The sequence below is a fragment of the Homo sapiens genome, chromosome 8 (assembly GCF_000001405.40).
Source record: "Homo sapiens chromosome 8, GRCh38.p14 Primary Assembly".
NCBI classification, from domain to species: Eukaryota; Metazoa; Chordata; class Mammalia; order Primates; family Hominidae; genus Homo; species Homo sapiens.
Window position 1 is genome coordinate 38,931,706 of NC_000008.11, and position 27,821 is coordinate 38,959,526.

Below are 27,821 nucleotides of genomic sequence, written 5' to 3' on the forward strand. Positions count from 1 at the left end.
AAAAATTAAGGAGTCCCCTCTGTAAAGCAGTAAGATCCTACTCATGACCTTCGTGTGCTTCCGTCCAGTAGGAAGAGACCTAAACTCTCAGAAAAACATACTCCGAGAACAGAGTCCAAGGCTAGATTTTGTCCTGTTGACCAGCTGTTCTTAAACTTGGGCCTGTTGAGGGATCGCGTGGGAGCATTTTAAAAATGTCCATGTTCTGACCACATTCCATTTAATTCTCATTCAGTGTTCTGGTGGGGGGAAGCTTGAGCGCGGGCTTTTTTTTAAAATCTCTTTTTTTCTTTTTAATAAATAGAGTCAGGGCCTCGCCCTGTTACTTAGGCTGGAGTGCAGTGACACGATCATAGCTCACTGCAGCCTCGAACTCCTGGGCTCAAGTGATCTTCCCACCTCAGCTTCCCACATACCTGGGACTACAAATGTGCACCACTACACCCAGCTAATTTCTTTATTTTACTTTTTGTAGAGACAGAGTCTTGCTGTGTTGCCCAGGCTGGTCTTGAACCCCTGGCCTCAAGCGATCCTCCCACCTCAGCCTCCCCAGGTGTTGGGATTACAGGTGTGCGCCACTGCACCTGGTCATTCTTGGGGTTTTTAAAACAAGCTCTCCAGGAGATTCTGGTGTGCACCAAAGTTGGAGAAGGATTTGTGTGCCTAAATCCAGAGAGAGGGGAGGTCAGGGCAGGCTGGAGTCGGTTCAGGCTTCAGGGAAGAGAGTCCTGAGTTTGTCCTTTTCCTAGAGGAGTCTGAGCTATGGCCAGGGAAGAGGGGGGACAGCTTGGGTGGGCTCCCCTCCCCAGCTCTGATCCCTTGCCGCTACCTAGGTGCTGTTTCTTGGCCTTCCTGCCCTGACACCTGGCTAACCAGGCCCTCAGCTCAGGCATCCCCACTCTGTCTTCCTTGATCAGAAAGCACCTTCCTAGGGCTGCCGATGTGTCACCCTGGCAGTCAGCTGTCACCGTTCATCTTCTAGGTCCAGTCACTGGAGTGGACCCTGAGCGTCACTTTGGATCAAGCCTCAAGGATCCTGGGGCTGTTTTCTCCCATGTCTCCCATTTCCCCTGGATGGGGAGGAAGGTGGGAGGGAGGAAGGCAGCATCAGACACGCGTCATATTTTCCTGGCTTCTCCTGGTGGAGAGGACGTACAGTTGAGCCCAGGAGCAGACTGTGGGTGGGGTGTGGGTGAAGGGGTGAGGACCCCTGCCCTTACCCCTGGGGTCCCTGGGCCTGGAGAGTGGCTGCGGCATCTTTCTCTCTGAACAGGGAGAGCTGCCAGGGAGGCCAGGACAGAGGGTGGAGCAGCCCTTGAGGGGCAGAGGGGATGAAGTAGTTGAAACCTGATCAGCTCATAGTTGTTTTTCCATGTGGGTTAGTGTCCGAATGGTTCCCCAAATCCCACTTCATCACTCATAATTCAGGCTAGAGCTCCGGAGGCTGCTGGGCTGTGGTTTGGGGTGAGGAGAGTGTGTTGTGCAACAGCGGCCCTGAGATTTGGCATTTGCATCTTGTAATTAGTGCTGTGGGAGGGGGATCGGGACTCCAATAGGAGGGGTTGGGCCCTCTCGTGTCTTTCCATGGAATTCTCCCCACCACCCTATGAAACAGGGTTTAGCATCTCTGTTTTATAGGTAAAGAGACTTGCCTGTGGTTACAGAGCATTAATGTCACAGCTAGAATTCCAACAGCTCAAGCTTTTAAAATTACCCCATGCCACTTGCAGGGCACTGCATTGAAAGTCAGCTTTGGTTTAGGCTCTGCCACCAATTATGTGACCTTGGACAAATCCCCTCACTCACAAGCCCACTTTCCTAAACTGCAAAATGAGGTCAGGGGTGGTGGACCCTTAGTCCTCAGCAGAGTCCTGCAGTTCCTGTGTCCCTGGAGCCCGTTGGTCTCCCTCTGTAAGTCTGACCTTGGGCAGCACGGTGTCTTTGCCCAGAGCGGTTCTCATTCCCTTCTAAGGCAGTGTCTGTCACTCATGCCTTTTGGGAGCTGGGGCTCCTATGTGGACTCTGATTTAAGGGCTATAAGGCCTGTCTCTTCCTACCCAATAGAGGTTTCCTAAAAAAAAAAAAAAAAGAAAAGAAAGAAAAGCAGTCGCTATGTGGTTGAAAAAAAATGTGTAAATAGAAGTGTAAATCAGATTATCCACAGTTCATATACAAATCTGGCTGTAAGAGGCAGCTCCTTAGCTTACTGCCTCATTCGCAAAGGGAAGAACGTGAGTGCAGAGTCTTTTCTAGGTCCCCCACTCTAAGATTCTTGGGTTCTGAGAATACCTTTTTTGGTAGTATTATCCCCGTCCATTTTCTTGCTTGAATTTGCTTCAAGCGATGTATGTTAATTTAGATAGGTGGGGTTAGAAGGACTCTTCCCTAACACCCTGAGGAGACATTTACAGAAAAGAAAAAGAAGAAGAGGTAGAAGAAGAAGAAGAAGAAAATATATATATATATAATGTTTTTATAGAGACGGCGTTTCACTATGTTGGCCAGGGTGGTCCCAGAGTCCTGGTCTCAAGCAGTCCCAGCCTCCCAAAGTGCTGAGATTACAGGTGTGAGCCACCACGCCTGGTCCACCAGAGACACTTCTTAAGGCTATCTCCTGATAGATCATTTCACTGATAATTCTTAGGTAAATTTCCTAAATTCCTTTATCCGAGATTCATCTCCTTTTATTGCTTTGAGAGGACCCCAGGTAATGGGGGCTTCAGAGATTTTTTTTTTTCTTTTTTGAGATGGAGTCTCTCTCTTCCAGAGATTTTTCTTGGAGGCTTTTGGCAACAATTTAAGAGGTCAGCAGGAGCTATGGACAGAGTCTCAGATTCACAGGGGGATGGTCTGCATTCGAAGCCCCAGGGCTGTGATTTCTAACCTTGACCGTGACTCTGGCATGGGACTGCCTTGGGTTTTCACTGCTTCATCCCTGCCAGTGGGGACATTAGAAAGCCAAAGATGGTGTGCCAGGGTAGAGCACAGTGCCAGACCTGGTGCCTGTGAGTCTCCTGCTGTCGTGATAGTGCATTCACTTCATGTTTTATACTGTACAGACATCTTTCCTTTGCTACTCATAACAGCCCTATGAGATGGGCTGAACAGATGTATATATATATATATTTTTATTTCTATATTGCGTGAGTTTGTATCCTATGTATTATAAAAAAAAAATTGAACTGGCATAAAACAGGACAGAGTCAGTGAGATCTCAGGGCACTCACAAAAACTATAACAGCTCACACTTGCTGAGAGTCTTCTACATACCAGGGACAATTAATTCCAAGTGCTCTTAAATGTATTTATTTATTTTTTATTTTTGGGGGATGGAGTCTTGCTCTGTCACCCAGGCTGGAGTGCAGTGGTGAGATCTTGGCTTACTGCAACCTCCACCTCCCAGGTTCAAGCGATTCTCCTGCCTCAGCTTCCCAAGTAGGTGGGACTACAAGTGTGAGCCACCAAGCCCGGCTCTATATTTTTAGCAGAGATGGGGTTTTGCCATGTTGTCCAGGCTGGTCTCGAACTCCTGACTTGAGGTGATCCTCCCGCCTCAGCCTTCCAAAGTGCTGGGATTACAGACGTGAGCCACTGTGCCTGGCCTTCTTAAATGTATTAACTCATTTTTACAGCTTTCTTATGAGGTAGGTGCTATTATCCCTATTTTACAGAAGGAAAAACTAAGGATCGGTGGTTAAGGAACTTGTTCACAGTGGAGCTTACACTTTTTTTTTTTTTTTTAAGAGATAGGGTCTTGCTGTGTTGTGCAGTGGCATGAACACAGCTTACCGCAGCCTCTATCTCCTGGGCTCCAGCAGTCCTGCCAACTCAGCCTTCCATGGAGGTGGGACTGCAAGTGTGAGCCTCCATACCCAGCTAATTTTTAAAATTTTTGTAGAGATGGGGTCTTGATATGTTATCCAGGCTGGTCTCAAACTCCTGGCCTCAAGTGATCTTCCCACCTTGGCCTTCCAAAGTACTGGGATTACAGGCATGAACCAGTATGCCCAGCCTGAGCACACACTTTTACCACTGTACTAGAATATTTCTTTATAATAGATAAGGCTTGGGGGTAATGTTAATGTCACAGGTTTCTATCAGGAATCCTGAATCATTATCCAGGAATTATCATCACTGTTTCACAGGTGAGGAATGCAAGTTAAAGAATGGTTGAGTAACTTGCTCAGTGTTGCCAGGAAAGTGGCATAAACAGAGCTAGAATCTTGGTCTTCTGTCTCTTGGTGCTGTTTCCACAGCCTTCTTAAAATGAAAACTATGTGTCTTTCAGAATCTGGCAATGGGGGCAGGAGCTGTTGGAGCTTTGCAGCTGACCTACATCTCGAAGGTAATGTTGACCTGGAACTCTGGGAATTCATGCTCTGTAAGTCGATCTGGTTTCTAAGCAAGGGGAAGTGTCCAGTCCTTTGGGCATTAGTATTTAGGGACGTTGCATGGTGTTGAAATGCTCCCCTGAACCCACACAATGCCTGTGGAGGCTTAGCTGCTAATGGGTGGCTGTAGAGGTATGTGGTTCCAAGTTGTTGGAGGGTGGACCTACAGCCTCTTACTCCTTGAACACATCAATCCATAATGCTCCCAGCTCCTGCGCAGGAGGTGTTATGTGGTGGTGGAGCTGGGGTAGGGGTAGTACATGATCCATGACCTTTTTTTGTAATTGGGACGAAAGGGAACACGAAAACAATCACCAAAAATCCAGCAACTGTGAAGGATTCTCTCAAAGGGTACAGTCAAACAAAAAATATTGGGGCTTCACTGGATTTTTTACCAGTCACCTGGACAGGATTACTGTGGAGGGAAGGCTAAGAAGGCCCTGAGAAGCCACTCAGATTACCAAGAAGACATTCAGCAGCCAGATAACTGCTGGGGGTTGGGGCAGGTGGCTGCGAGGCCACCCCCGTCCCATTTGTACAGAAGGGGCCGGAGCAGGCCCTCTCTTGTGCTGAGAGCTGGGGTGGGGACTGGTTAACGGTGCCCACATGTAACTGCTGAATTCAGCTTCTATTAGCAGCCGCTCCCTGGAGCAGGCACCACTGCTGACCCGTGATGCAGCGGTGATAAAAAGGCCGGGAGATTTAGAGCCTCCCCAGGAAGAGGAACTCTTTGTACAGTGAGGAGAGCCAGGTGGCACCCCGCCAGCACTGAGGTTTCGGAAGTCCTGTGCTCCCCACACACCCTCACTGCAGGCCTCTTGGGAGCCTCTTCTGCCCTGCACATCCCCTTTCATCCTCAGGGGCTGGAGGCCTGGGGGCCCCTGAGCCAAGGGTCTATCGGCTCCATCTTGTAACAAGCTTTGGGAGTCTTGTACCCTGGCTGGTCAGGAGATGAACCTGAAGGGGACTGGGGGACTCTGGAGGAGAGGCCACCCTTGGCTGGAGGGGCAGCCCGCCCCTGTGCCTGTGGTATGCAGGCAGAGTCTGGCAGACACAGCCCAGTACAAAGGCACAAGATGCAGGGCAGCGTCAGGGCGGATTAAAGAGGGAGAGAATGACCTCAGGGAAGGAGGAAGGGCCTTTTCAAGTCCAGCCTTGCTAGCACAGCTGCCGGCAATTTGTGCATGCCTTGTGGTGAGAAATGTGGCTGCCTCCCCGGGCCAGAGCAGCCAGAGGCCCAGGCCTGCCCGCCCTCCCTGGCTTGTCCTCATCTTGCTGAGAGCTCCTGAGGTCGTTTCTCCAGGAGGGTCGGAGATGGAGAATTGAGAGCAGAGGAGCAGAGAACCTCGCAGTAATAAAGGAAAACTGAAACCCTCTCCTGTGTGAGAGGGTTTGGGAAGCCTTTTTTTTTTATTTTTGGTTGGGGAAGAATGAATTCAGTCTCCTGCTGAATCATGATTTATAAATGCAGCTCAGATGAGGGTTTTAGAGTTCTCAGCCTTGGAGGCTGCGTCATTTAGAAAGGGTGACCTGCCGTTTAGCCCCTTCCCGAGAAAGGCAGGGCTGGATGGGCATTTTGCAAAACCCACAGCTGCCACTGGGTCGGGTTACACAGAGCTCAGAGCCTTTAACTCCTGCCTGACTCCCTGCCAGAAAGCAGGGGTTTTTCCCAGAATGACATTTAGCCTCAGAGGCGCTGGACTCCAGCTCAGCATTCCAGGTCATTATTTGTTAACTCTTAGGTATTCCTTCTTGGAGGAGAGCGCTTGCCACCGTGTCAGGTGGCCTGGCCAGAGGGCTGCGTGTGGGCTGGCTGTTCAGGGTGTGTGCTTCTCTGCTGTCTGCTGAGGGCCAGTGATGGGAAGATGAGGACGGGCGTGTGGCCCTGGCCCTTTGGAGAGACAGAGATGAAAGTGATGATTGGATGTCATCCAGAGCATCAATGGCAACAGAACCAGTTCTTAGCAAACTAGAAAATAATTAAAGCTGCACTTTGACCCCTGCCTCCACCCGCCGACTGCACAGCCAACCCCGCTGTCCCACCCCCAGCTGTGTCCCAGTTGTCAGGGCCTTGCTTTCAGCCACCTCTCAGAAAGAACTTGTAGGGGCTCATGGATCCTTTTTTGAGACTGATGAAATGCATGGATGCCTTCTCCAGGTAAATGCATAGGTGTACAGACACACCCTGCTTTTGCCTATAATTTCAGGGAGCCCATTGACCTCCTGAAGCTGGTCCAGAGACCCCCATCCCATGTAGGTGGCTGCTATTCCCCTGATCCTGATGCCACCTTGTGGGGCAAGGTCACCCCCAGATACCAGGGCAGAGGCCGCAGCAGAGCTAGGAGACCTTGTTTTGCTGCCACTGCTTCTGCCAGAGGGGCCCCAGCTCCTCTTCCGGCCATGGGCAGACAGGGTGGGGCTGGCCCTAGCCGTGCCTGGCCGCTGACGAGCTTGCAGCTCCTGTGGTCTGTGTTTGATCTGATAAGCGCAAGTTCCTGAGAGTCTGTTGAGCTGTGGAGCAGCCCTGTCTGCGTCACTCTACGGGGGACCTGTGCCCACTCCCTGCTCACATCCCTGACCTCTGCTCGCTGCTGGGGTGTTCACAGGACCCACCAGTCAACCACTGCTGGGTAGCGCCTCTGCTGTGGCCACCTCGGCTGTGTGGATGGCTGCACTTTGGTGGCCTCACTGGAGTCAGACGGTCGGGTGACCTCACCCGCCTGCAGCCACGCCTCTTCATGAGAGGAGGTGAAGCCACCACGTCTCCATGATAAGTTAGATTTCCTTCTTGGCCTTTCTTTTTCTTTTTTTTTTTTTTTAAATTTGAGACAAAGTCTTGCTCTGTCACCCAGGCTGGAGTGCAATGGTGCAATCTCGCCTCACTTCAACCTTTGCCTCCTGGGTTCAAGCGATTGTTCTGCCTCAGCCTCCCGAGTAGCTGGGATTACAGGTGTGTACCACCATGCCTGGCTAATTTTTGTATTTTTAGTAGAGACGGGGTTTCACCATGTTGACCAGGCTGGTCTCGAACTCCTGACCTCAGGTGATCCGCCTGCCTTGGCCTCCCAAAGTGCTGGGATTATAGGTGGGAGCCACTGCACCCGGCCCCATCTTGGCCTTTCTTTCCGTGGGACTCAGCAACAAGTAGAAATCATTTCATTGTCCTCTTTTGCCACTCTGTGGCAAAGGAGAATAGTGTTTTTACTCTGGCTTCACCTATTGTAAAGCTGATCAAAGACATTGAGGGTCTTACCCTTGCAGTGAGCCAATCAGGGCAGAACCAGAACCGATCCTGTTAATTCAGCAATGAGTTGGTTTGCCGAATCGCCCTTCCATGGTAAGCCATTAGGCATGAGGCCAATGATGGTTGTACACGCATGCACTCACACGTGCACTCTCACATGCCTCCTGACCAAAACTGGATAAACAGAGGAAAGCAAACAAACAAACCCAAAGCCAGACCGTCTCTTTGAAGGCTCCAGTTCCCATAATAAGCACATGGGTAGCATTCTCACAGCACAGGCTGGCTAATCAGTTGTGGTCAAAACGAGCATTTGTTATCCAAACAGAATTAAAACAGTCCGCCTGTGGTGCTCTCTCTAGTCAGTGACAAATAGGAGTTTTTCAGAGAAAAGGCAGTTCTCCTAATAAGCCAGAAAGGGTCTTGGAGTGCCCAGTTTTTCAATGTCATTCTAAAGCTGGAAGTAGGTTGGGCATAGTGACTCATGCCTGTAATCCCAGCACTTTGGGAGTCTGAGGTGGGAGGATCGCTTGAGGCCAGGAGTTCAAGACCAGTTTCAGTAACATAGCGAGACCCTGTCTCTACAAAAAAAATTTAAAAAATAAAATTTAGCTGAGCATGGTGGTGAGTGTCTGTAGTCCCAGCTACTTGGGAGGCTGAGTTGGGAGGATCGCTGGAGCCCAGGAGTTTGAGGCTGACCAAGCCATGACTGCACCTCCACACTCCAGCCTGAGACAGAGTGAGACCCTATCTCTTAAAAAAAAAAAAAAAAAAAAAGGGCCAGGCGTGGTGGCTCACGCCTATAATCCCAGCACTTTGGGAGACCGAGGTGGGTGGATCACCTGAGGTCAGGAGTTCCAGACCAGCCTGGCCAACATGGCGAAACCCCATCTCTACTAAAAATATAAAACATTAGCCAGGTGTGGTGGTGCGTGCCTGTAATTCCAGCAACTTGGGAGGCTGAGGCAGGAGAATCGCTTGAACCTGGGGGGCGGAGGTTGTAGTGAGCCAAGATCGTGCCATTGCACTCCAGCCTGGGTGACAGAGCAAGACTCTGTCTCAAATAAATAAATAAAGCTGGAAGTAGAAGGGGAGGATGAGATTGGTGGGTTCTGAGGGCTGGGATGGCCAAACACAGTTCTGCTGTGGTCAGGATTATGCAGAGATCAGGGGCAGAACAACCAGGAGTTATGGACCAGAGGACTGCAGGAATGTGGACGCTGAGGGCCAAAGCAAGAAAATGAGTGACTGACAGATTAACACTCAGGTGTAAGCAGGACAGAAGTCTATGCCGTGGTCCAGATTGAAGGGGCGGGGGGGGGGGGTCAGAAACCCAGGAAGCAAGATGTCTAGGGGCCTGGACTATTGTGTTATGGAGCCACCAGCGTCCTCTTACTGTGAGTTGACACACAACTGAATTTGGATCCTCTGTGTCCGAACTTGGGATAAGCGGGTTTACCTTTGCTCAAATCATCATTTTTTTAGGTTTTTCGTAGGCTCTGTGGCTTTCACCTCACATCTCAAAATGTACATCCCTTATTAAATATAATTGGCTATTATATATATATATAAAATATTTGAAAGGATTTTAATCATTTTACTTTTGGAATGATTTGGCTCTGAGTAACTCATCCAATTTGTAACTGGCTCTAATTTCTGGGCAATCATCTTGCACACGCACAAAAGGATTCTTGTGAGCTAAGAAAATCTAAGGTATCTTTTTTTTTTTTTTTTTTAAAGACAGAGTCTCGCTCTGTCACCAAGGCTGGAGTGCAATGGCGGGATCTCAGCTCACTGCAACCTCCATCTCCCGGGTTCAAGCGATTCTCCTGCCTCGGCCTCCCAAGTAGCTGGGATTACAGGCATGTGCCACCACACCCGGCTAATTTTGTATTTTTAGTAGAGACAGGGTTTCACCATGTTAGTCAGGCTGGTCTCGAACTCCTTACCTCAAGTGATCCACCGGCTGTGGCCTCCCAAAGTACTGGGATTACAGGCGTGAGCCACTGTGCCCGGCCTGGTACCAATTATTTTCAAATGAAAAACTTTTTAATGTTTCATTGAAAAATTAATGACGTTTACTTGACGTAACATCCTGTACGCATTTAAATACTTGTCAGGGAGGTTGATATAATGTTATGTAGGCATTCAATTAAATGTTTATTAACACCAGATACAGCATCTTCACTTTGTATGTAGGAGGCCAGGCAATTTTTTCAGGTTTCATACAGTTTTGCAGGCCCAGAGAAACTCATGGACCCTCAGCATTTTGCCCGTAGTTCCAGGTGGGACACTGCCTGTGTTGATGTGTGGAGTGAGGCTTTAAAGGAAATGAGGTATCAAAAGCTATAAATAATCCCTCCTGGGTTGAGCAGATTCTGTGTGGAAGAATGACTGTCTTACCTGCACTATCATATTTAACCCTCATGATAACCCTGTGAGAACACGATATTATGATCCCTTATTTGATAGAACAGGAAATGGAGGTCATTCAGTTGGAACACCTGTCATTTGAGACTCTCTGTCTCTGCCTGACCTTCTTTTGATCTTTTATAAGGTGCCACCTCAGTTCCCATTTATTTGGGGCAATATTAATTTTGGTTAAGGAATCTAGGCAGGTGTATAGCAAGAACTTAGAGCCAAGAGTAAGAACCTAGACAGACTGGTGAGTCAGTCATTGTTAGACCCTAACTGCTGTCAGCCAGGAAGATACTTTAATTTCAATTCAGGACTTTTTCTTTAGCACCTGGCTTCTGATACGCTGCCCGTTAAAGTAGCAGCCAGCCGGTTGCGGTGGCTCATGCCTATAATCCCAGCACTTTGTGAGGCTGAGGCAGGAGGATCACTTGAGGCCAGGAGGTTGAGACCAGCCTTGACAACATAGCGAGACCCCATCTCTAAAAAAAAAATGGAAAAATTAGCTGGGTGTGGTGGTACACACCTGTAGTCTAGCTACTCAGGAGGGTGAGGTGGAAGGATCACTTCAGTCTGAGAAGTCGAGGCTGCAGTGAGCTGTGATTGCGCCACTGCACTCCAGCCTGGGTGACAGAATGAGATGGGGTCTCATTCTGGGCTCAAGTGATCCTCCAGCTTCCTGTCTCAAAGAAAGAAAACCCAAAAAAACCCCACAAACAAATAAAATAAAGTGGGAACCACTCCTGGATCCCCTAGGTGGAGGACATGTCGAAGAATACCCTTGGCTGGAGGGGGATGGAGAGAATGGTATTCAGGGGAGGACTGTGACATCATGTGAATAGTCCCCGGCCTAGGACCCATGGGAAGGTGACTGTCTCTTTAGAGGCTCAGTGGTGGAGGCTCACTCCAGGGAGGCTCAGCCTCCATCAAGGATTGTCCCTAATCTTTGTGGGCATGTGGTGGAATATGAGTTGCTTTCTTTTTTCTTTTGTTTGAGCCTGAATGATGAGAGTTCACATATGCAGATACTCAGGAGTGTACATGCCAGGGGTAGGATTGCCAGAGCAAGATGAAATACAGCAACAGGAGGTATAGAAATACCTCCTCTGTTTCTTGCCCTTCCCTGAGATATATAGGAATGTTCTCCGATTCCATCAGCCCCTCTCTGGGCACCTGGAAGGTGCTTATTTTCATGGTTAGGCCATCAGGGCAGATGTAAAGGCAATTGTTCCATGTGTCTGAGGGCAGCGAGCAGCCTGCTGCTTCATCTCTCTGAGTGTTCTGATTGGAATCCATGCATTTGTAGCAATATTGCCTTCAGCTTGGAGAACGATTTAGGGAGAGGGTTGGCGGTTGAAAGAGGAGGGGAGGAGGGGAATCTTGCTAGTGTGAATGAGGCCAGGATAGGTTTTCGTCAGGACTTAGTGGCTTTTAAAAGTCTTTTTGAGCTGGGTGCAGTGGCTCATACTTGTAATCCTAACACTTTGGGAGGCTGAGGCGGGAGGATTGCTTGAGCCCAGGAGTTTGAGACCAGCCTGGGCAACATAGCAAGACCCTGTTTCTGCAAATATTTTTCTTTTTTAAAAAAAACTAGCCAGGCATAGGGGCATTTAAAAAAAATTAGCCAGGAGGTGGAGACTGGAGGATCACTTGAGCCCAGGAGTTGGAGGCTGCAGTGAGCTATGATTGCACCACTGTACTCCAGCCTGGGTGACAGAGTGAGACCCTATATCTAAATAAATAAATAAATAATAAACATAAGTCTTTTTGTAAAGATGAACAGACCTCAAGATAATGGTTATCTCTGACGGTGGGGATTCTGTCAGGGAGGGGCACACAGGGCTTCTAAGAAATAGGACTGATAATGCCTGTTTCTTAATCTGGATGATGAGTACAGGGTTTTCATTTAATTATTATTTTTTAAAAATGTAGACATATGTTTAATGTACTCTTTATATATGAGAAATTTCACAATAAGAAATCTTCAACATTGTAAGACACATATTCATGTTTCTTTTATTTCTTATTTGATTTAGGTGAGCATAGCTACCCCAAAACAGAAACCAAAAACTCCATTTTGCTTTGGTAAGTACTGAGCCAGGGGAGGGACTCATTTAATATTGACATGGCAACTTCCTCTTTTGCATGGAGACAGTCCTGTGATCACATGTGACTATACCCTGTGAGTATGAGTGACTTAAATCACAGTGACGGTCCTGGACGTCAAGTGATATTGTTTTCCCTGGTCTTGCTGCAAAGGTTGTTAATAACATAAGGACAGAGGTTCAGGGACTAGTAACATTTCTGTTTTCTTTCTTTTTTTTTTGGTTTTAGTTTTATTTTTTAAGTTGACAAATAATAATTATATATATTCATGGGGTACATAATGTATAGAGTAATTAGCATATCTATATTAGTCTGTTCTTGAACTGCTATAAAGAAATACCTGAGACTGGGTAATTTAAAAAGAGAACAGGTTTGCCCGGGCCTGGTGGCTCACACCTATAATCCCAGCACGTTGGGAGGCCGAGGCGGGCAGATCACCTGAGATCAGGAGTTTGAGACCAGCCTGGCCAACATAGTGAAACCCCATCTCTACTAAAAATACAAAAAAATTAGCTGGGCGTGGTGGTGAGTACCTGTAATTCCAGCTACTCGGGAGGCTAAGGCAGGAGAATCTCTTGAACCCAGGAGGCGGAGGTTGCAGTGAGCTGATTTCAGGCCATTGCACTCTACTCCACCTCAAAAAAAGAAAAAAAAAAGAGGTTTAATTGGCTCAGTGTTCTGCAGGCTCTATGGGGCCAGAGGAGAAGCAAGAAAGAGAGTGGGGAGGTGCTATGCATATTTAAATAACCAAATTTCACAAGAACTCACTATTATGACACAACAGCATGGGGGATGGTGTTAAACCATGAGAAACCGCCCCCACGACCCATCATGATCCAGTCACCTCCCACCAGGCCCCACCTCCAACATTGAGGATTACAATTGAACATGAGATTTGGGTAGGGACACAGATTTGGGTGGGGACAGAGATCCAAACCATATCAATGTCCATCATCTCGAACATTTTTTTCTTTTAATAATTGTCCATATGCATTTCAGTTTTCTTGATGCCACAAGGCAGGTGCAAAATGTCCACTATAAGTTTCTGTGAACCTTATTTTAGAGCTGAGAAATGTTGTGCTCAGAAAAGATGGAGGACTCAGAGGAGACGCAGATGGCAGTGCCAGGAAGGGGATAAGACAAAGGAAGGAGAATTCTGTTAAGGGTCTCAGTTGCCCAATAGTGACATGTTGGGGGATGGTGTAGGAGGCAGAGTCACCGTGCATGGGTGCCTCAAGTCAGGAAGTGGTCAGTGAATTCAGTGAATCCATCATCAAATAGTTACTTGGCTCCTACTATGTTCTCACAGCTGTGCTAAGTGCTATGAGCAAATGCTAACAAATAGTTTCTGTTGCCTATCTGGGGTGGTTCTGAATGTAAGTTTCACAAAGGCAGGGGTATTCCTCTGCCTTGTCACTGTGGTATCCTCAGCACTTAAAGATGTTTCCTAGCGCATAGTAGGTGCTCAGTAAATATTTGTCAAATGAATGAATGAACGGATGAATTCTGCATCTACCCCATGAGACTCACCTCCTACAGTTCAAGCTTATGCTAAGAGAATAAAGTATTCCCTTGAGCGATTCTGTCTCCCCACCTCAGATTTGTTCAGACTTCTTTGGCATGCTCATTCTTCTATTTCTTGCAAATTTCATAGCTAAGCTCAGAAATGACTCTCACGTTTTGTGGTTATCAGATCTGAAAATATATATATGTAATAATAGTGAATGTGGAAGTAAATTGTTGACCTAATGGAATGCTCAGAGGAAAGAACAGGTTGAGAGTGAGGCCAAGGTCACAGATTTGATCTCAGGAAAGCTTTGTTCTATTTCCCAACCACAGACAACTCTCCCAGTCCAGACCAGTTGTGCCAGAGGAGACCAAGCATGGGTCCAAAATTCTGTATATACCGTGATGACAGTAAATGTATTAGCACCGCCAGAATGCGGTTCACAGTTGTGTCTTGTTGACGGCAGACCAGCAGCCTCATCACCGCAGAACAGCACACTGAGGCTGCTGTTAACATGGTCAGGTGTTGTTCCTGTGGCCAATGGGATGTTTTTAAAGGTGGGAAAGAGAGTGAGCAGGTGTGGCCTGGGGCTTCCTAGATATCCAGGCAAATGACTTAGCATCATGGGAGATTTCTTGTTCTGCTTTGTGGAGTTCACTCATCTCACTCCCTCAAACACCTTAGCTTTGTGGAGACTTGTTGTATTGCTTGTATTCTGACCTAGGAATGTCTTCCCTTCTTTTCTGTGGCTTTTGTAGTTATCAATGCCCTGTCTCAGAGATATTTCCTTCAAGCCAATGATCAGAAAGATATGAAGGACTGGGTTGAAGCCCTGAACCAAGCCAGCAAGATCACCGTAAGTTTGGTTTCTTCTGTTTTCTGGTGGTAGTAAAAGTGCCTCTTCCCAGGCTATGGCCTTGTTGGGGTTGGGGAAAACTGAGATGGCAGCGGGGACTTTCCCAGGAGCCTGGTCTGTACCCAGTTCTCTCCCACCTCGTCTTTTTCCTTGGCTGACCAAACACAAGTTGAACTGAGAGTCTGAGTTTGAATCAAGTTCAAGGGGAAGTTCATGGAGCGTCCCCTTTGTGCTTCCTGGGAGGGCTCCCGATCAGTCATGTTTCGGGTGATTCTGGGATGCTGATTCAGAATGTGGTAGGATTGGAAAATGGATTGGTGACTGTGAAAAGTCAAGTAAGGGGAAAAGCATATGGGGAGGGAAGTCAGAACTTTTTCCCAGCTTGGGGGATACTCTTCTTACTTTCAGAGGCTGCCTGCAGGGTCAGTCCAAGCCATCCGCCTCCCTGTCCTAGAAAAGCCTTCTGTTTAAAAGCATCACAGAGCTCGTTCATGGACTGTCCTACGAGTGTGCTCTTTTTCCTTGAGTTGGCTAATGAAGAATTCCTTTCTTTTTCCTTAGAGATATAGAAAAAGAAAGGAAGAAGGGTAGGAAGGATGGAGAGGGGAAACTATGTTTTGGAAAAAACTAGACTTTTAATCAATAAGACAGGCAGACTCCTGGCTTATATAGATCATGGCTTCTTTGCTGAAAAGTTTGTTTCTGTATCATACAGTCAGAAATGCTTATGTTTGAGGGGCTTCCAGTAGTGACTATTACATGCTGCAGCAAATTATCCTCCCAGATTTCTCAGGGTTCCTGTGAACAACTGTATAGAAGAAATTTGTACACGTATATAGTATTCATATTGCTAGACCCAACCTGAGTGTAATTGAGTCTCCTATAAGCACTTTTGCTGATTAGCTTCTTATTCTGATAAACCTTGGTAAACCCGTGAAAAGAGAGAGTGATGAAAAGAGAGAGGATGGATGGCTGGGTGCAGTGGCTCACGCTTGTAATTCCAGCACTTTGGGAGGCCGAGGTGGGTGGATCACCTGTGGCCAACATAGTGAAACCCCGTCTCTACTAAAAATACAAAATTAGCTGGGCGTGGTGGCACACGCCTGTAGTCCCAGCTACTCAGGAGGCTGAGGCAGGAGAATCACTTGAACCTGGGAGGCAGAGGTTGCAGTGAGCCGAGATCGTGCCATTGCATTCCAGCCTGGGCGACAAGAGTGAAACTCCACCTCAAAAAAAATAAAAAATAAAAAAATTAGCCAGGCCTGGTGGCTTACACCTGTATTCCCAGCTACTTAGGAGGCTGAGGCAGGAGGATCACTTGAGCCCAGAAGTTTGAGGCTGCAGGGAGTTATGATCGCACCACTGTACTTCAGCCTAGGCAACAGAGTGAAAGCCCATCTCTTAAAGAAGTCTCAGGTAGTGTAAACAGCTTTGGAAAGGCTCTGCATGTTGATCTGAAGCACTGCATGACACCGGAGCATAAGCACTGACAAACAGTGTTCTTCGGGATTTTGAGAGGAAACACAGCAGCCAAGCTTCTGTGCCTCCTTTTCTGGCCACTGGGAACTCTAAAAAGTTACTTTCTGGCCAGGCGCGGTGGCTCACGCCTGTAATCCCAGCACTTTGGGAGGCTGAGGCGGGTGGATCACAAGGTCAGGAGTTCGAGACCAGCCTGGCTAACATGGTGAAACCCCGTCTCTACTAAAAATATAAAAACTAGCTGGGCATGTTGGCATGCACCGTAATCCCAGCTACTTGGGAGGCTGAGGCAGGAGAATCACTTGAACCCAGGAGCTGGAGATTGCAGTGAGCCGAGATCGCGCCACTGCACTCCAGCCTGGGCGACAGAGCAAGACTCCATCTCAAAAAAAAAAAAAAAAAAATTGTTATTTCCCTCCTTCTTTGCTGGGTTTCAGGAATTCATCTGGGTCATTTAGGGGAAATTTCTGCAGTTCCATGGTGATTTTAATCACTAAATATCAACTAAAAATCAACATCCCTAAAAATGTGGTTACATAATAACAGAACTCACAGAAAGTGAGAAAGAGTAGCTTAGGTAGGTCGTGACATGCAGCAACAAGGAGTCAGGCAGTCCTAGAGCCAAATCACTTAATTTTAATGAGCTTGAGTTGACCTCATCTATAAAGTGGAGAAAATCATGCCTGGTTGATAAGATTAGTGATAATGCAGCAAAGAGCTTATCAGTGCATTGCCTGGCACTGAATGGTGGCCCAGAGAAACTGTAACTGCTGGTATCTCTCAGCCAGAAAGAAAATAGAAGGCGGAATTTCTGGCCTGATTTGGAGGGGTAGGGAGGGGGCAGAGGACGTCCTTGTCTATGTAAACTGAGTGTGCAGTCCAGGAAGAGAAGGTCTCGTTGTCTTTGTGGGGGCCCAGCATAATCAGGGTGCTCTTATTGTTTTGAACAGACACCAAATGACAGGGCTGTCATATAGCTCTGAGCTCGGATCCTTAGGTCTTTCTTACTCTGAAAGCTGTAGAAGTGGGAGAGGACCTTAGCTTTTCTCTCGAAGTCCCGGTGACGTCCCGGCAGATAGATGTAGGGTGTTGCGTTCTCCTGAAGGTGGGGCATTGTGATGCTGGGGCACTGGTGGGAAGTCAGAGTTTAGTAGACATTCAGCTGTTTTTTTGTTTTGTTTTTGTTTTGAAACGGAGTCTCGCTCTATAGCCCAGGCTGGAGTGCAATGGCGTGATCTCGGCTCACTGCAACCTCTGCCTTCTGGGTTCAAGCGATTCTCCTGCCTCAGCCTCCTGAGTAGCTGGGGTTACAGGTGCCCGCCACTACGCCCAGCTAATTTTTGTATTTTTAGTAGAGACGGAATTTCACTATATTGGTCAGGCTAGTCTCGAACTCCCGACCTCAGGTGATCCGCCCGCCTCGGCCTCCCAAAGTGCTGGGATTATAGGCATGAGCCACTGTGCCTGGCCGACATTCAGCTGTTAATCCTGGCTTTGGGTAAATGACTCAACTGTTCTGGACCTCTTTTTTTTTTTTTCTTTCTAACAAAATGAAAGATTTCCTCAGCATTTGCAGACTCTAGTATAAATGAGTGAAGTGGGCAAGGAGGAGGAAACAGGGCAACAGGAATGAGGATAAGTGACATTTGACCCCTGGCCTCTCCCGTTCTGCTGGGGAGAATGGTAGGGACTGTGCAAACACAATGTATTTTCTATCTAAAAGGGAACTGCTGCATAGCTGAAAATCTGGATTTTTCTGTGAAATATCCCAAAACTTAGATGCAGATTTTAAAAAATACTGCATGTGACTAACAAAACATTGTTTGGGCAAAGTCAGTGGGTGGGCCACCAATTTGCAACCTCTGGCCTGTGATTTCCAACTAACAATAAAAATTTTATGATGATTTGATCAGCTGTGGTACCATATCTCTGTCAAGGAAGAGCAAAGATAGCTCATTCTTCCAAAAGGGCTCTGTGTATAATTATTAGTAACAACGTGGGAAGCCTTAATTATAATATTTTGTAATATGTTTTTCTTTTTAGTTGTGTTTCTAAAGCATTTAATATACTCTATCATTTGATAACCACAACGATGGTTATGATAAATATTATTCCACTTTTCATTTTATGCATGAGACGGTTTAGGCCTAGAAAGGTTTGATGGTTGCCAAAGGTCTCTCAGGTGGTTCGTGAGAGGTGAAGGGTTATACCACACATCTTCTGGCTCCAGACTTCATGGACCCCTTGTTCTGTCTCTACAAAGGCATGCATGCATTTTTACCTGTTCAATCTGCCCAGAATGCCTTCTCCCAGCTTCATGTTCCTGGTTCCTTTTATTTAGTTTTTTATTTTGTATTTTTTTCGAGACAGGGTCTCTGTCACCTAGCCTGGAGTACAGTGGTGTGATTATAGCTCACTTCAGCCTCCAATTCCTGGGCTCAAGAGATTCTCCTACCTTGGCCTGTTGAGCAGCTGTGTGCTACCACACCTGGCTAATTTTTTTTTTCATTTTTAGTAGAGATGGGATCTCACTATGTTCCCCAGGCTGGTCTTGAACTCCTGGGCTCAAGTGACCCTCCTGCCTTGGCCTCCCAAAGTGCTGGGGTTACAGGTGTGAGGCCCCGGACCTGGCCCCCATCTCCTGCTTACCCTCCAGGTTGCCGTTTGAGTGTCTCCCTGCCTTCTCCTCTAGAGACCTCCCTGCCCACTCTGTTTCCAGCAGGTCCCCTGCTGTGCGCTGCCTCAGCTCTCTTGATCTTCTTTGTGCCACTCACCACCATTTGTAATTACTCTGTTTGTTTTACGTTTTTTTTTGTCATTCCCCCTACTAGCATGTAAGTGCCGTGAAGGTGGGGACCCACGTGTGTTTCGCTTGACACTTTATCTTTGGTTTCTAGCCAGGGAAGGGCTGGCTCATAAGTAGGCGCTCAAGAAATTCCTGGAGTCAGTTTGTATCTGTGTAGGGGGAGGGCGTTGCTGGTTGAGATGCTCATATTCAGATTTGGACTGTGGAAGGCTTGGGGAGGACACGCAAGTCTGACTGTAATTTGGCACATGAGCTTTTCTCACGGCAGCCCCATTCTGTTTTGGGCTCCCCATGTTTCCTAAATGTTCTGTTCCCCATTGATTGTTGCTGCCGCTCACCCCAGGTTCCCAAAGGTGGGGGCCTACCCATGACCACTGAAGTTCTCAAGAGCTTAGCAGCTCCTCCAGCCCTGGAGAAGAAGCCACAGGTGGCCTACAAGACGGAGATCATTGGAGGGGTGGTGGTCCACACACCCATCAGCCAGGTGAGGGGCCTGACTGGGGCTGCGGGGGGAGTGGGGGTGTGGAAGTGTCCATGGTGTGCCCATGATGTGCTCGGAGCACTGTACTGGGGAAAAGGAGGGTGGGAGTGGGGGGCAGCTGGTGCCAGTGGAGCCATCAGGAAAGTACAGGTCATGTTACATCCCCATTCATGGGTGTTAGTGACGGCAGTGCGGAAGTGGAGGCTGCTGCATCTTGAAGCCATGTGGCCTGTGCAGTTCTGTGCCGAACACGGGAGACACAGAAGATGAGGGTTTGTGAAACCATAGGAAATGGGACAGAGCATGGCAAACAAGGCTGGAAACCAGCCTGGTGTCCCTGCTGGTTCACATTCCCTATCCTTCCCTTTCTCCTGGGTCGGCCCAACCTCCCTGATGCTGGTTCTGTGAAAGTACCCAGTAGAGTGCATGACAGAGAAAGGAAAGGTTTATTTTCCTGTTTTAATTATTTATATTTATTTAAGTTTTTTTTTTTTTTTTTTTTTTTTGAGATGGGGTGTCCCTCTGTCACCCAGCCTGAAGTGCATATACACATAATCACGGCTTATTGCAGCGTCTGCCTCCTAGGCTCATGCAATCCTCCTGCCTCAGCCTTCCTAGGCTCAAGTGATCCTCCCACCTCATCTGGGACCACAGGCATGTGCCACCACGCCTGGCTAAATTTTTTTGTATTTTTTGTTGGAGATGGGGTTTTGCCATGTTGTTATTTAATTTTTTTAGAGACAAGGTCTCGCTGTGTTGCCCAGACTGAAGTGCAGTGGTGCAATCATGGCTCACTTCAGTGTCAGACTCCTGGGCTGAAGCCATCCTCCAACCTCTGCTTCCTGAGTAGCTGGGACTACACGCCTGGGTAATTCTTTTTTTTAATTTTTAAATTTTAAAATCAAAATTAAACAAAAATTTTAAAACAATTTTTAATTTTTTTGTAGAGACTGGGTCTCACTGTGTTGTCCAGTCTGGTCTAGAACTCCTGGGCTCAAGCGATCCTCCTGCCTTGGCCTCCCAAAGTGTTGGGATTACAGGCGTGAGCCACTGTGCCCACCATTTATTTCTTCTTTGACTTAGGGCAAAGAGGCCAGAGATTCAGGCAGAGGGAGGTAGGTGGGGCTGTGGCTGCATAGAGGGAGGGAGGCGCTGATACTGACACTGTTTCCTTGCAGAACGGTGGGGATGGGCAGGAAGGGAGTGAGCCCGGGTCCCACACCATCCTTCGAAGGTCTCAGAGTTACATCCCCACGTCAGGCTGCCGTGCTTCCACTGGGCCTCCCCTCATTAAGAGTGGTTACTGCGTGAAGCAAGGGAATGTGGTGAGTGTCAGCACAGGGGCTGAATTGGGGTTCTGGTGACTCCTCAGAGCCAGTGGCTGTAGACATAGCAGAGGTGAGAGGGGATTGACAGGAGGTGCCTCAGTCCTCCATGGAGCCTCCACCTTTGAGGGTGAGATTTTGGGACTGACCTTTGGCTCCCACCTGTCAGAGGTGTTGCCCCTGATATGAAGAAGCCCTTGCCCCTGCTGAATGTGGGAGCCGGACTTCCATGGGGCTGGGTCCTTGGGAGCTTAGCATGAGTACACCCTCCACAATGCTGGGCACCTCTCGCTAATGGTCTGCCTTTTATTTTTTTATTACAGCGGAAGAGCTGGAAACGTCGCTTCTTTGCACTTGATGACTTTACCATCTGCTACTTCAAGTGTGAGCAGGTTTGTAGTAGCTTTGCTGCCCTTCTGAGAGGTCATGGAAACTAAGAGGTGCATAGGTGCACACCCACAGGAGAGCGTGCATGAGTGGAGATGTGGGCACACAAAGACTTCAAAGGCGCCTCTGTCTTATCTCCATTCTGTGCACACATCTTTACAGTGACACTAAAGTGTCCTCTCTGCAGTGAGCTGCTGTGTGGTCAGAGTCATAGCTACACAACATCTTCTTCTTATATTTTTTTGTCTTTTTTCTTGTTTTTGGAGACAGGGTCTTTCTCTGTCACCTGTCACCCAGGCTGGAGCACAGTGGTGGATTTTTTGTAGAGACAGGATTTCACTATGTTGCCCAGGCTGGTCTTGAACTCCTGGCCTCAAGCAATCCTCCAGCCTTGGCCTTCCAAAGTCCTGGTATTACAGGCATGAGCCACTCTGCCCAGCCAGATTTTTTTTTCTCTTGCTGATTATTTTGAGACCAGATTATTTGTCAACCTGATTTTAGCCAACCATCTCTGAGAAAGGGGTATTGGTCAGCTGGTCTGGGTCGTGATATGACACAGACAGCCTCACTTACCTGTCTTTCTGTTCTTTCCACCAGGACCGAGAACCACTGCGCACCATATTTCTTAAGGATGTTCTGAAGACCCATGAATGTCTGGTCAAGTCTGGGTAATTGTGTCTGCTTTTTCTCTTCTAATCCAAACCTCCATTTGTCCTCTTAAATCTCCCTTTACTACCCTTCAGAGACTCTATGCAAGAGTCATCTTCTTCCAAGAGCCAGGCACAGGAGCCTAACACCTTGTGGCTGACTCACTGCATCCAAGCTAACACAGGGAGGAGACCGCCCTGGGCACACTTGCCCTCTTCCCATACCTTACTCTGGCTCCTAAGCAGATAGGCCTACGTAATAGTTTCTGGTGGGCAAAAAGAAAGGGTATAGAAACAAAGAGTGGGGCTCCGAAGCTTCTCAGGTGTTAGGATTAGATGCTCAATCCCTAGCAGAACACAGGCTCAGAGGAGAGACCACGCCTCTAGGTCACTCACCTCAGTGCTTCTGGTCAGATCACTGTACTAGTGCCTCTTCCCTGACCTTCTTATTCCTTTTCTCCTCCTTTTGACCCTGATGTCCCATTAACACAAGGTGATTCATAGCATCTCTGTGTTACTCCCACTGGGAAGGAAGAACAGGTATTTTAAAGGGATTCCTCTGTCCACTAGGAAATAGTTACCTTCCAAGTGCCACTTTGCATAGGATGAGTTTGGGACCTGGCAAGGGATCTCCTAGGTCCAACACCAAATACAGATGCCTATAGAACTAAACTTTAGAGACCCTAAGGGTATTGGGGCATCCAAAAACCCTTTTTCTGGCCACCAATCTGCAGTCTTTAGAGACAGGGTGTTTGTGTCCCTCCGTCTCATGGCTTGTACAAGCAGAACCCTCAGATATCATCAGGAAAGCTGTTCACAGCAGGCCGACTCTTCTCCCATGAAGGCACAAACAGTCTTGCATGAAAACAACATGCTGTGTGACCCAAGGGGGCAGAGACAGAAGCACTCTCCCGAGTCTTGCAAATGGCAGTTGCAGAGTACAGAAGACTGGGGAGGTTCCCAGTGACTATTTATAATTCGGGAAAGTAGCTATAGATGGAAATTCCAGAAGTGTGGCTCTAGAAGTAGGCAGAGGGAAGATTGGGCATGATGAGATCCTTGATTGTACTTGACCCTGGAGGGCCCTTGCAGATGTGAGACCACCTGGGCACATGGGGGAAGCTTAGAGAACCATAAGGAACTTACGGTTAAATCCTAAGAATGCCTTGAACTTTCTCTAACTCTCTAACTCTGCCAGAGTCACACTAAACTGAGTTAAGGAAGTCAGGGACTAGCAGGGAAGGAAGGTCCTTAGGGCTCTGCAGCTTCCATGCCTGTTAGACTGCTTGGCCTCCCTGGAACCCAGTCCAGGGTTTTAGGATATCTTGATAATCAATTAATATTTGTTGAAAGGCACCATGTAGCCTGGTGCCGTTTTAAAAAAATATATATCTTTTTAGGCCGGGCGTGGTGGCTCACACCTGTAATCCAATCCCAGCACTTTGGGAGGCCGAGGCGGGCGGATCACCTGAGGCCAGGAGTTCCAGACCATCCTGGCCAACATAGCGAAACCCCTTCTTTACTAAAAATACAAAAAATTAGCCGGGCATGGTGGTGGGTGCCTGTAATCCCCGCTACTTGGGAGGCTGAGGCAGGAGAATCGCTTGAACCCGGGAGGCGGAGGTTGCAGTGAGCCAAGATCGTGCCACTGCACTCCAGCCTGGGCAACAAGAGTGAAACTCTGTCTCAAATAAATAAATAAATAAATTTTTACATTTTTTAAAATTTCTATCGTTTTGGGGGAACAGGTGGTGTTTGGTTGCATGGAAAAGTTCTTCAGTGGTGATTTCTGAGATTGTGGTGCACCCATCTGCAGCAGTGTCCACGGTGCCCAAATGCATAGTCTTTTATCCCTCACCCCCCTCCTGCCCTTCCCACCCTGAGAAGTAGATGTGAAAGGAGTGGGGATTTCCCACCTGCTTTTCTTTCACCTCCTCAATAGTTGTTTATGTGACTTTACTGGCTATGCATGAGTAGAATTTGAAAGGCTAAGACATTTTAGCCAGAAAGAGGCATTTTTTATTCAGAAACTCAGAAAGTAATCATAGTTGGTGAAATTTGCTTCAAGTGACTATTCTGTGACATACATTATGCCGGATGCCTTCTGTACCTTATAACTAACTGGTCTTTGTAGTGACCAGCCTGATCAAGGGGGTCCTCTTATTTGTCTCTGTTTTATACCTGGGGTCACAAAGGCTCCCCAAGTTTTTACAACATTCTCAAACATCTCTTCCCTACATGTAGTCAGGATTCACCCCAGGTCTATCTGGCCCCTATCCTGTTGTTCTTGCTCATGGATCTCTGGTCTCATGCACTCCTTTGCCCAGGTACCTGTGGCACTGGCCGAGGTAGTGCCATTTTCTTGCAGGCTTTCTCATTCATAAAGCCAACCCCACCTGTGATCAGTCCTTTCCAACTCTTGGCATATAACACACAATCTAACATCTGATGGTACAGTTTTGCTTCCTTATGTTCTTTTTTTGTTGTTGTTGAGATAGAGTCTTGCTCTGTCCCCAGATTGGAGTGCAATCTCAGTTCACTGCAGCCTCTGCCTCCCAGGCTCAGGTGATCCTCCCGCCTCAGCCTCCCGAGTAGCTGGGACTATAGATGTGTGCCACCACACCTGACTCAGTTTTGTATTTTTTTTTATAGAGAACAAGGTTCACCATGTTGTCCAGGCTGGCCTAGAACTCAAGTGATTTGCCTGCCTTGGCCTCCCAAAGTGCTGGGATTACAGGCGTAAGCCACTGCGCCTGGCCCTTATGTTCTTTCACTGGGTAGGAATTAGATCTTTTACTCCTTATGTATTCCCCGCAGTGGCTGGGGATATACGCGGCAGGCATTTAACACTGGGAAATAACTTGGGCTGCTTTGAGGTTTGTCACTGAGCATCATCTACTCCCCGCCCTCTTCCTTGCAGAAGTCAGGATTTCTTTTCCAAAACCCACACCCAGCAGTGTCCCCTAAAGGAGTGCCCTGAGGTCATCTCCTCTCCCCTTGCTTTCCTCCTCTTTAGCTCTTTGTCTCCTGGGCCCCGCACAGTGAGGCAAGGAGCAGGAGCTGAGTGAGGTTGATGGGGCTGCTGTGAGGGTGGAGGAGACGGTTTAGGGAGCGGAGAGTTGGCTCCCTTAGGAGAGGCCAATGGCAGTGGAGTAATTAAAAGCATAGGCTCACTGGGTTCAGTGGCTCATACCTGTAATCCCAGGACTTTGGGAAGCTGAGGCAGGCAGATTGCTTGAGCTCAGGAGTTCAAGACCAGCCTGAGCAACATGGAAACACCCTGTCTCTATGACAAATATAAAAATTAGCCAGGAGTGGTGGCATGTGCCTGTAGCCCCAGTGAGCCATGATTGTACCACTGTACCCCAGCCTGGGCAACAGAGCGAGACCCTGTCTCAAAAAAATAAATAAATAAAGCAGAGACTCTGGAGTCAGACCTAGGTTCCAAATCTCCAGCAACTTGGAGGAGTCATTTAAGCTCTGACCCTGAGTGTGGGTCTGGGTTTCCTCATCTGTAAAATGGGGGAAGTCTTAAGTGCCCCCCGGGGCTGTTGTGAAGATTAGATGAAATAATCTACAAAAAAGCACCCGAAACGGTGCTTCCCACAAAGCACTTCATACACCTTAGAGGGAAGGAGGGAGGCAGGAAGGAAGGAAACTGTAGGAGATGGTGGTGGTGGGGTTGGATATTAGGCAGGAGGTTTTGGAGGGAAAGGAGCTTGTTAGAACTGCTGGTGGGAGAGGGGCCTGGGGAGGGTCCATCTGGATGGCAAAGCCTCCTGAGACCCTCTAGGAAATGAAGCTAGAGGAAACCCCTGGAGTGTTTTTCAAGGCAGGAGCTGAAGGAAGAATGGCTTGGAACCACCCCCCACCCATCTTCCTTTTTTATGGTAGAGGGCACTGGGGTCTTAGGACATATCGAGTCCTCTCTGAGTATGTCAGCACGCCATAACATTCTTTCTCTTTCTCTGTCTAGTGATCTCTTAATGAGGGACAACCTGTTTGAAATAATAACAAGCTCCAGGACCTTCTACGTACAGGTAAAATGCTCCCTTCCAGAAGACTCCAGCATTCTGTTTCTGTGAATGGTGCCCTCACAGGCCGTGTCCTTTCCTTTGCTTTCTCTTTTCATTTGCTTGAAGTTTCTAGGCAGTAAATTTAGCCCCTGAGAGTCAGTCTGAGTCCCATTTCATCCTAAACAGGATGTTTGCCAAAAGCTTCCCAACCATAAAATAATGAAAGCAGGTTGAGCCGCTCTACTGAGGAATGTGAGTGTGTACCAGTTGCTCTCAGCTGCTGGGCTCCAGCTAAGCAGAGAAAAGGAGAACCGGTCAATGATTTCACTTCTCCTTTGGAGGGTATTTATAAGTCTCGTCTGTGTGTGGACATCACTGTGTGCGGAAGGACAAAAGCACAGAGGGCCCTGTGCAGGCACCAGGTGCAGAGCCCAGCTGCACAGAGGAAGCCATTGTTCAGGCTCTGATGGTTCACTTATCAGGAGCTTCTCCCCTCCACCCACAGCTCTGGAGTTCTCCCAACTCCTTCTAAAGTCATAGGAACTAGAAAGGCAGATTTCCAAGCAGGGACTAGACTTTCAGGGCCAAGTCCTAACCCAGCTTGCCTAGCAGTGCACAGAGAGTGCCTTGATTCGCAGCCCCGTGGTGATGCTGGACTTTTAGTATTGAAACTGACACTTGGCCAGGCGCGGTGGCTCATGCCTGGAATCCCAGCATTTTGGGAGGCCGAGGTGGGCGGATCACTTGAGGTCAGGAGTTTGAGACCAGCCTGGTCAACATGGTGAAAACCCCATCTTTATAAAAATACAAAAAAATTAGCTGGACATGGTGGTGTCTGTAATCCCAGCTGCTTGGGAGGCTGAGGCAGGAGAATTGCTTGAACCCGGGAGGCAGAGGTTGCAGTGAGCTGAGATCATACCACTGCACTCCAGCCTGGGTGACAGAGCGAGACTTTGTCTCAAAAAAAAGGGAAACAAAAAGAACAGAAATAAAAAACTGACAAGTAAGCAGGTTGGTTTAAAGGTGTGGTTTCCCAACTAAAGCTTTTCAAGCTCCCGCTGCCCTTTCTTCTGGGCCTCGAGTGTCACTCCCTGTTAAGCAACCTCCCTTCCCCAAGGAGCTGGTCCGCTTTCCCATTTCTTGGGCAGCAATTCCTGTCACAACTCCTTCCGCCGAGCCCAGCACGTGTTTGAGTAACTTAGTCATCTCGGGGCTATATCCATTTGGACAAGCACATACCATCCAGGAAGAGACAGCGGAGTGGGGGCTTGGGAGTGAACTGGAGCTGTGGAAAGGGCTGCCATGGGCATCGGAGCTACTAATTCACCAGCAACACTGCCACTCAGGGACAAGGTTTAACCTGTAGATTGCTCTACAAGTTTGTAGTTCTTGCATTCAACAGATATTTGTAGAGTATCCTCAGAGTGCTGGGCATTTTGTCTCAGGCTGGGGACACCAGGTTAAACAGAACAGATCCCGAACCCAAGAGAGAGAGAGCTCGTCAAGTCCATAGGCAGTTAAACTGTGGCATGGCGCAGGGGAGGGAGTGCTGGGGGAGATGGAGCACAGGGGAGTTTGCAGACAGTGAAACGATTCCGTATGACACTGTGATGGTGGGTGTGTGATGAAGAACTTGACAGCACAAAGAATTGACCTAATGTATGCAAATTGAGAAAAAAATTTAGGAGGTCAAGTGATCCTAGCAGGAAATGCAGAATGTGACAGTAATCGAAATGTATTACAGGTCCTCCCTGAAGTGGGTAGGGGAATACAAAATAAAAAAAAAAATGGTGTGATAAGTGCTACTGCCATTAGACTGAAACGTGAACCATAAGCAGGTCGCCTCACCCAGTCTTAGGGAGTTGGGGAGGGTTTCTGAAGAAAGATACAGCTAAGCTCAGTCTGTTGGGGGAAAAGTGGCCCAGGCAAAGGAAATAGGAGGTATTTTTTTAAAGCCTGGTAATAAAAGGAGCAAAGGGCCAAAAGGAGGCTGGACAGTTAGGCACGGAGGACCCTCATATGCCTTATTGAAGAGCTCGTATTTTATCCTTAGAATTAATGCCCTTAGAGGTTAAACAAAGGGCTTGATCTGATCTGCCTTGCCATTAAAAAATACCACTTGGGCAAGTTATTTAACTTCAGTGCCTGTTTTCCTCATCTGTGA

At 47.9% G+C, this 27,821-nt stretch overlaps 1 protein-coding gene across 8 annotated transcripts in view, besides 5 other annotated features; it reads left to right on the forward strand.

Annotated features, from left to right (window-relative positions):
• The window catches only part of PLEKHA2 (pleckstrin homology domain containing A2), a 72,567-nt gene that overhangs the window by 30,360 nt on the left and 14,386 nt on the right, over positions 1–27,821 (forward strand). For 7 of the 8 annotated variants that reach the window (NM_021623.2, XM_047422067.1, XM_011544607.4 and 4 more), the window contains 8 exons: positions 4,289–4,345; positions 12,084–12,132; positions 14,419–14,516; positions 19,145–19,285; positions 20,461–20,607; positions 20,931–20,999; positions 21,592–21,662; positions 25,618–25,681. In NM_021623.2, the coding sequence (NP_067636.1) occupies positions 4,289–4,345; positions 12,084–12,132; positions 14,419–14,516; positions 19,145–19,285; positions 20,461–20,607; positions 20,931–20,999; positions 21,592–21,662; positions 25,618–25,681 (696 nt within the window). The remainder of the gene's footprint in view (positions 1–4,288; positions 4,346–12,083; positions 12,133–14,418; positions 14,517–19,144; positions 19,286–20,460; positions 20,608–20,930; positions 21,000–21,591; positions 21,663–25,617; positions 25,682–27,821) is intronic. The other variant, XM_024447227.2, reaches the window with a different exon arrangement.
• Positions 4,646–5,326: an enhancer, noted in NCBI's record as "H3K27ac-H3K4me1 hESC enhancer chr8:38793869-38794549 (GRCh37/hg19 assembly coordinates)". NCBI's record gives its function as "activates a minimal SCP1, AML or CMV promoter by ChIP-STARR-seq in naive H9 embryonic stem cells {active_cell/tissue: H9 hESC(naive)}" and the evidence as "EXISTENCE:reporter gene assay evidence [ECO:0000049][PMID:30033119]".
• Positions 5,327–6,006: an enhancer, noted in NCBI's record as "H3K27ac-H3K4me1 hESC enhancer chr8:38794550-38795229 (GRCh37/hg19 assembly coordinates)". NCBI's record gives its function as "activates a minimal SCP1, AML or CMV promoter by ChIP-STARR-seq in naive and primed H9 embryonic stem cells {active_cell/tissue: H9 hESC(naive and primed)}" and the evidence as "EXISTENCE:reporter gene assay evidence [ECO:0000049][PMID:30033119]".
• Positions 5,504–5,833: an enhancer, noted in NCBI's record as "active region_27268". NCBI's record gives its function as "activates an Ori minimal core promoter by ATAC-STARR-seq in GM12878 lymphoblastoid cells {active_cell/tissue: GM12878}" and the evidence as "EXISTENCE:reporter gene assay evidence [ECO:0000049][PMID:35858748]".
• Positions 25,861–26,020: an enhancer, noted in NCBI's record as "active region_27269". NCBI's record gives its function as "activates an Ori minimal core promoter by ATAC-STARR-seq in GM12878 lymphoblastoid cells {active_cell/tissue: GM12878}" and the evidence as "EXISTENCE:reporter gene assay evidence [ECO:0000049][PMID:35858748]".
• Positions 26,041–26,290: an enhancer, noted in NCBI's record as "active region_27270". NCBI's record gives its function as "activates an Ori minimal core promoter by ATAC-STARR-seq in GM12878 lymphoblastoid cells {active_cell/tissue: GM12878}" and the evidence as "EXISTENCE:reporter gene assay evidence [ECO:0000049][PMID:35858748]".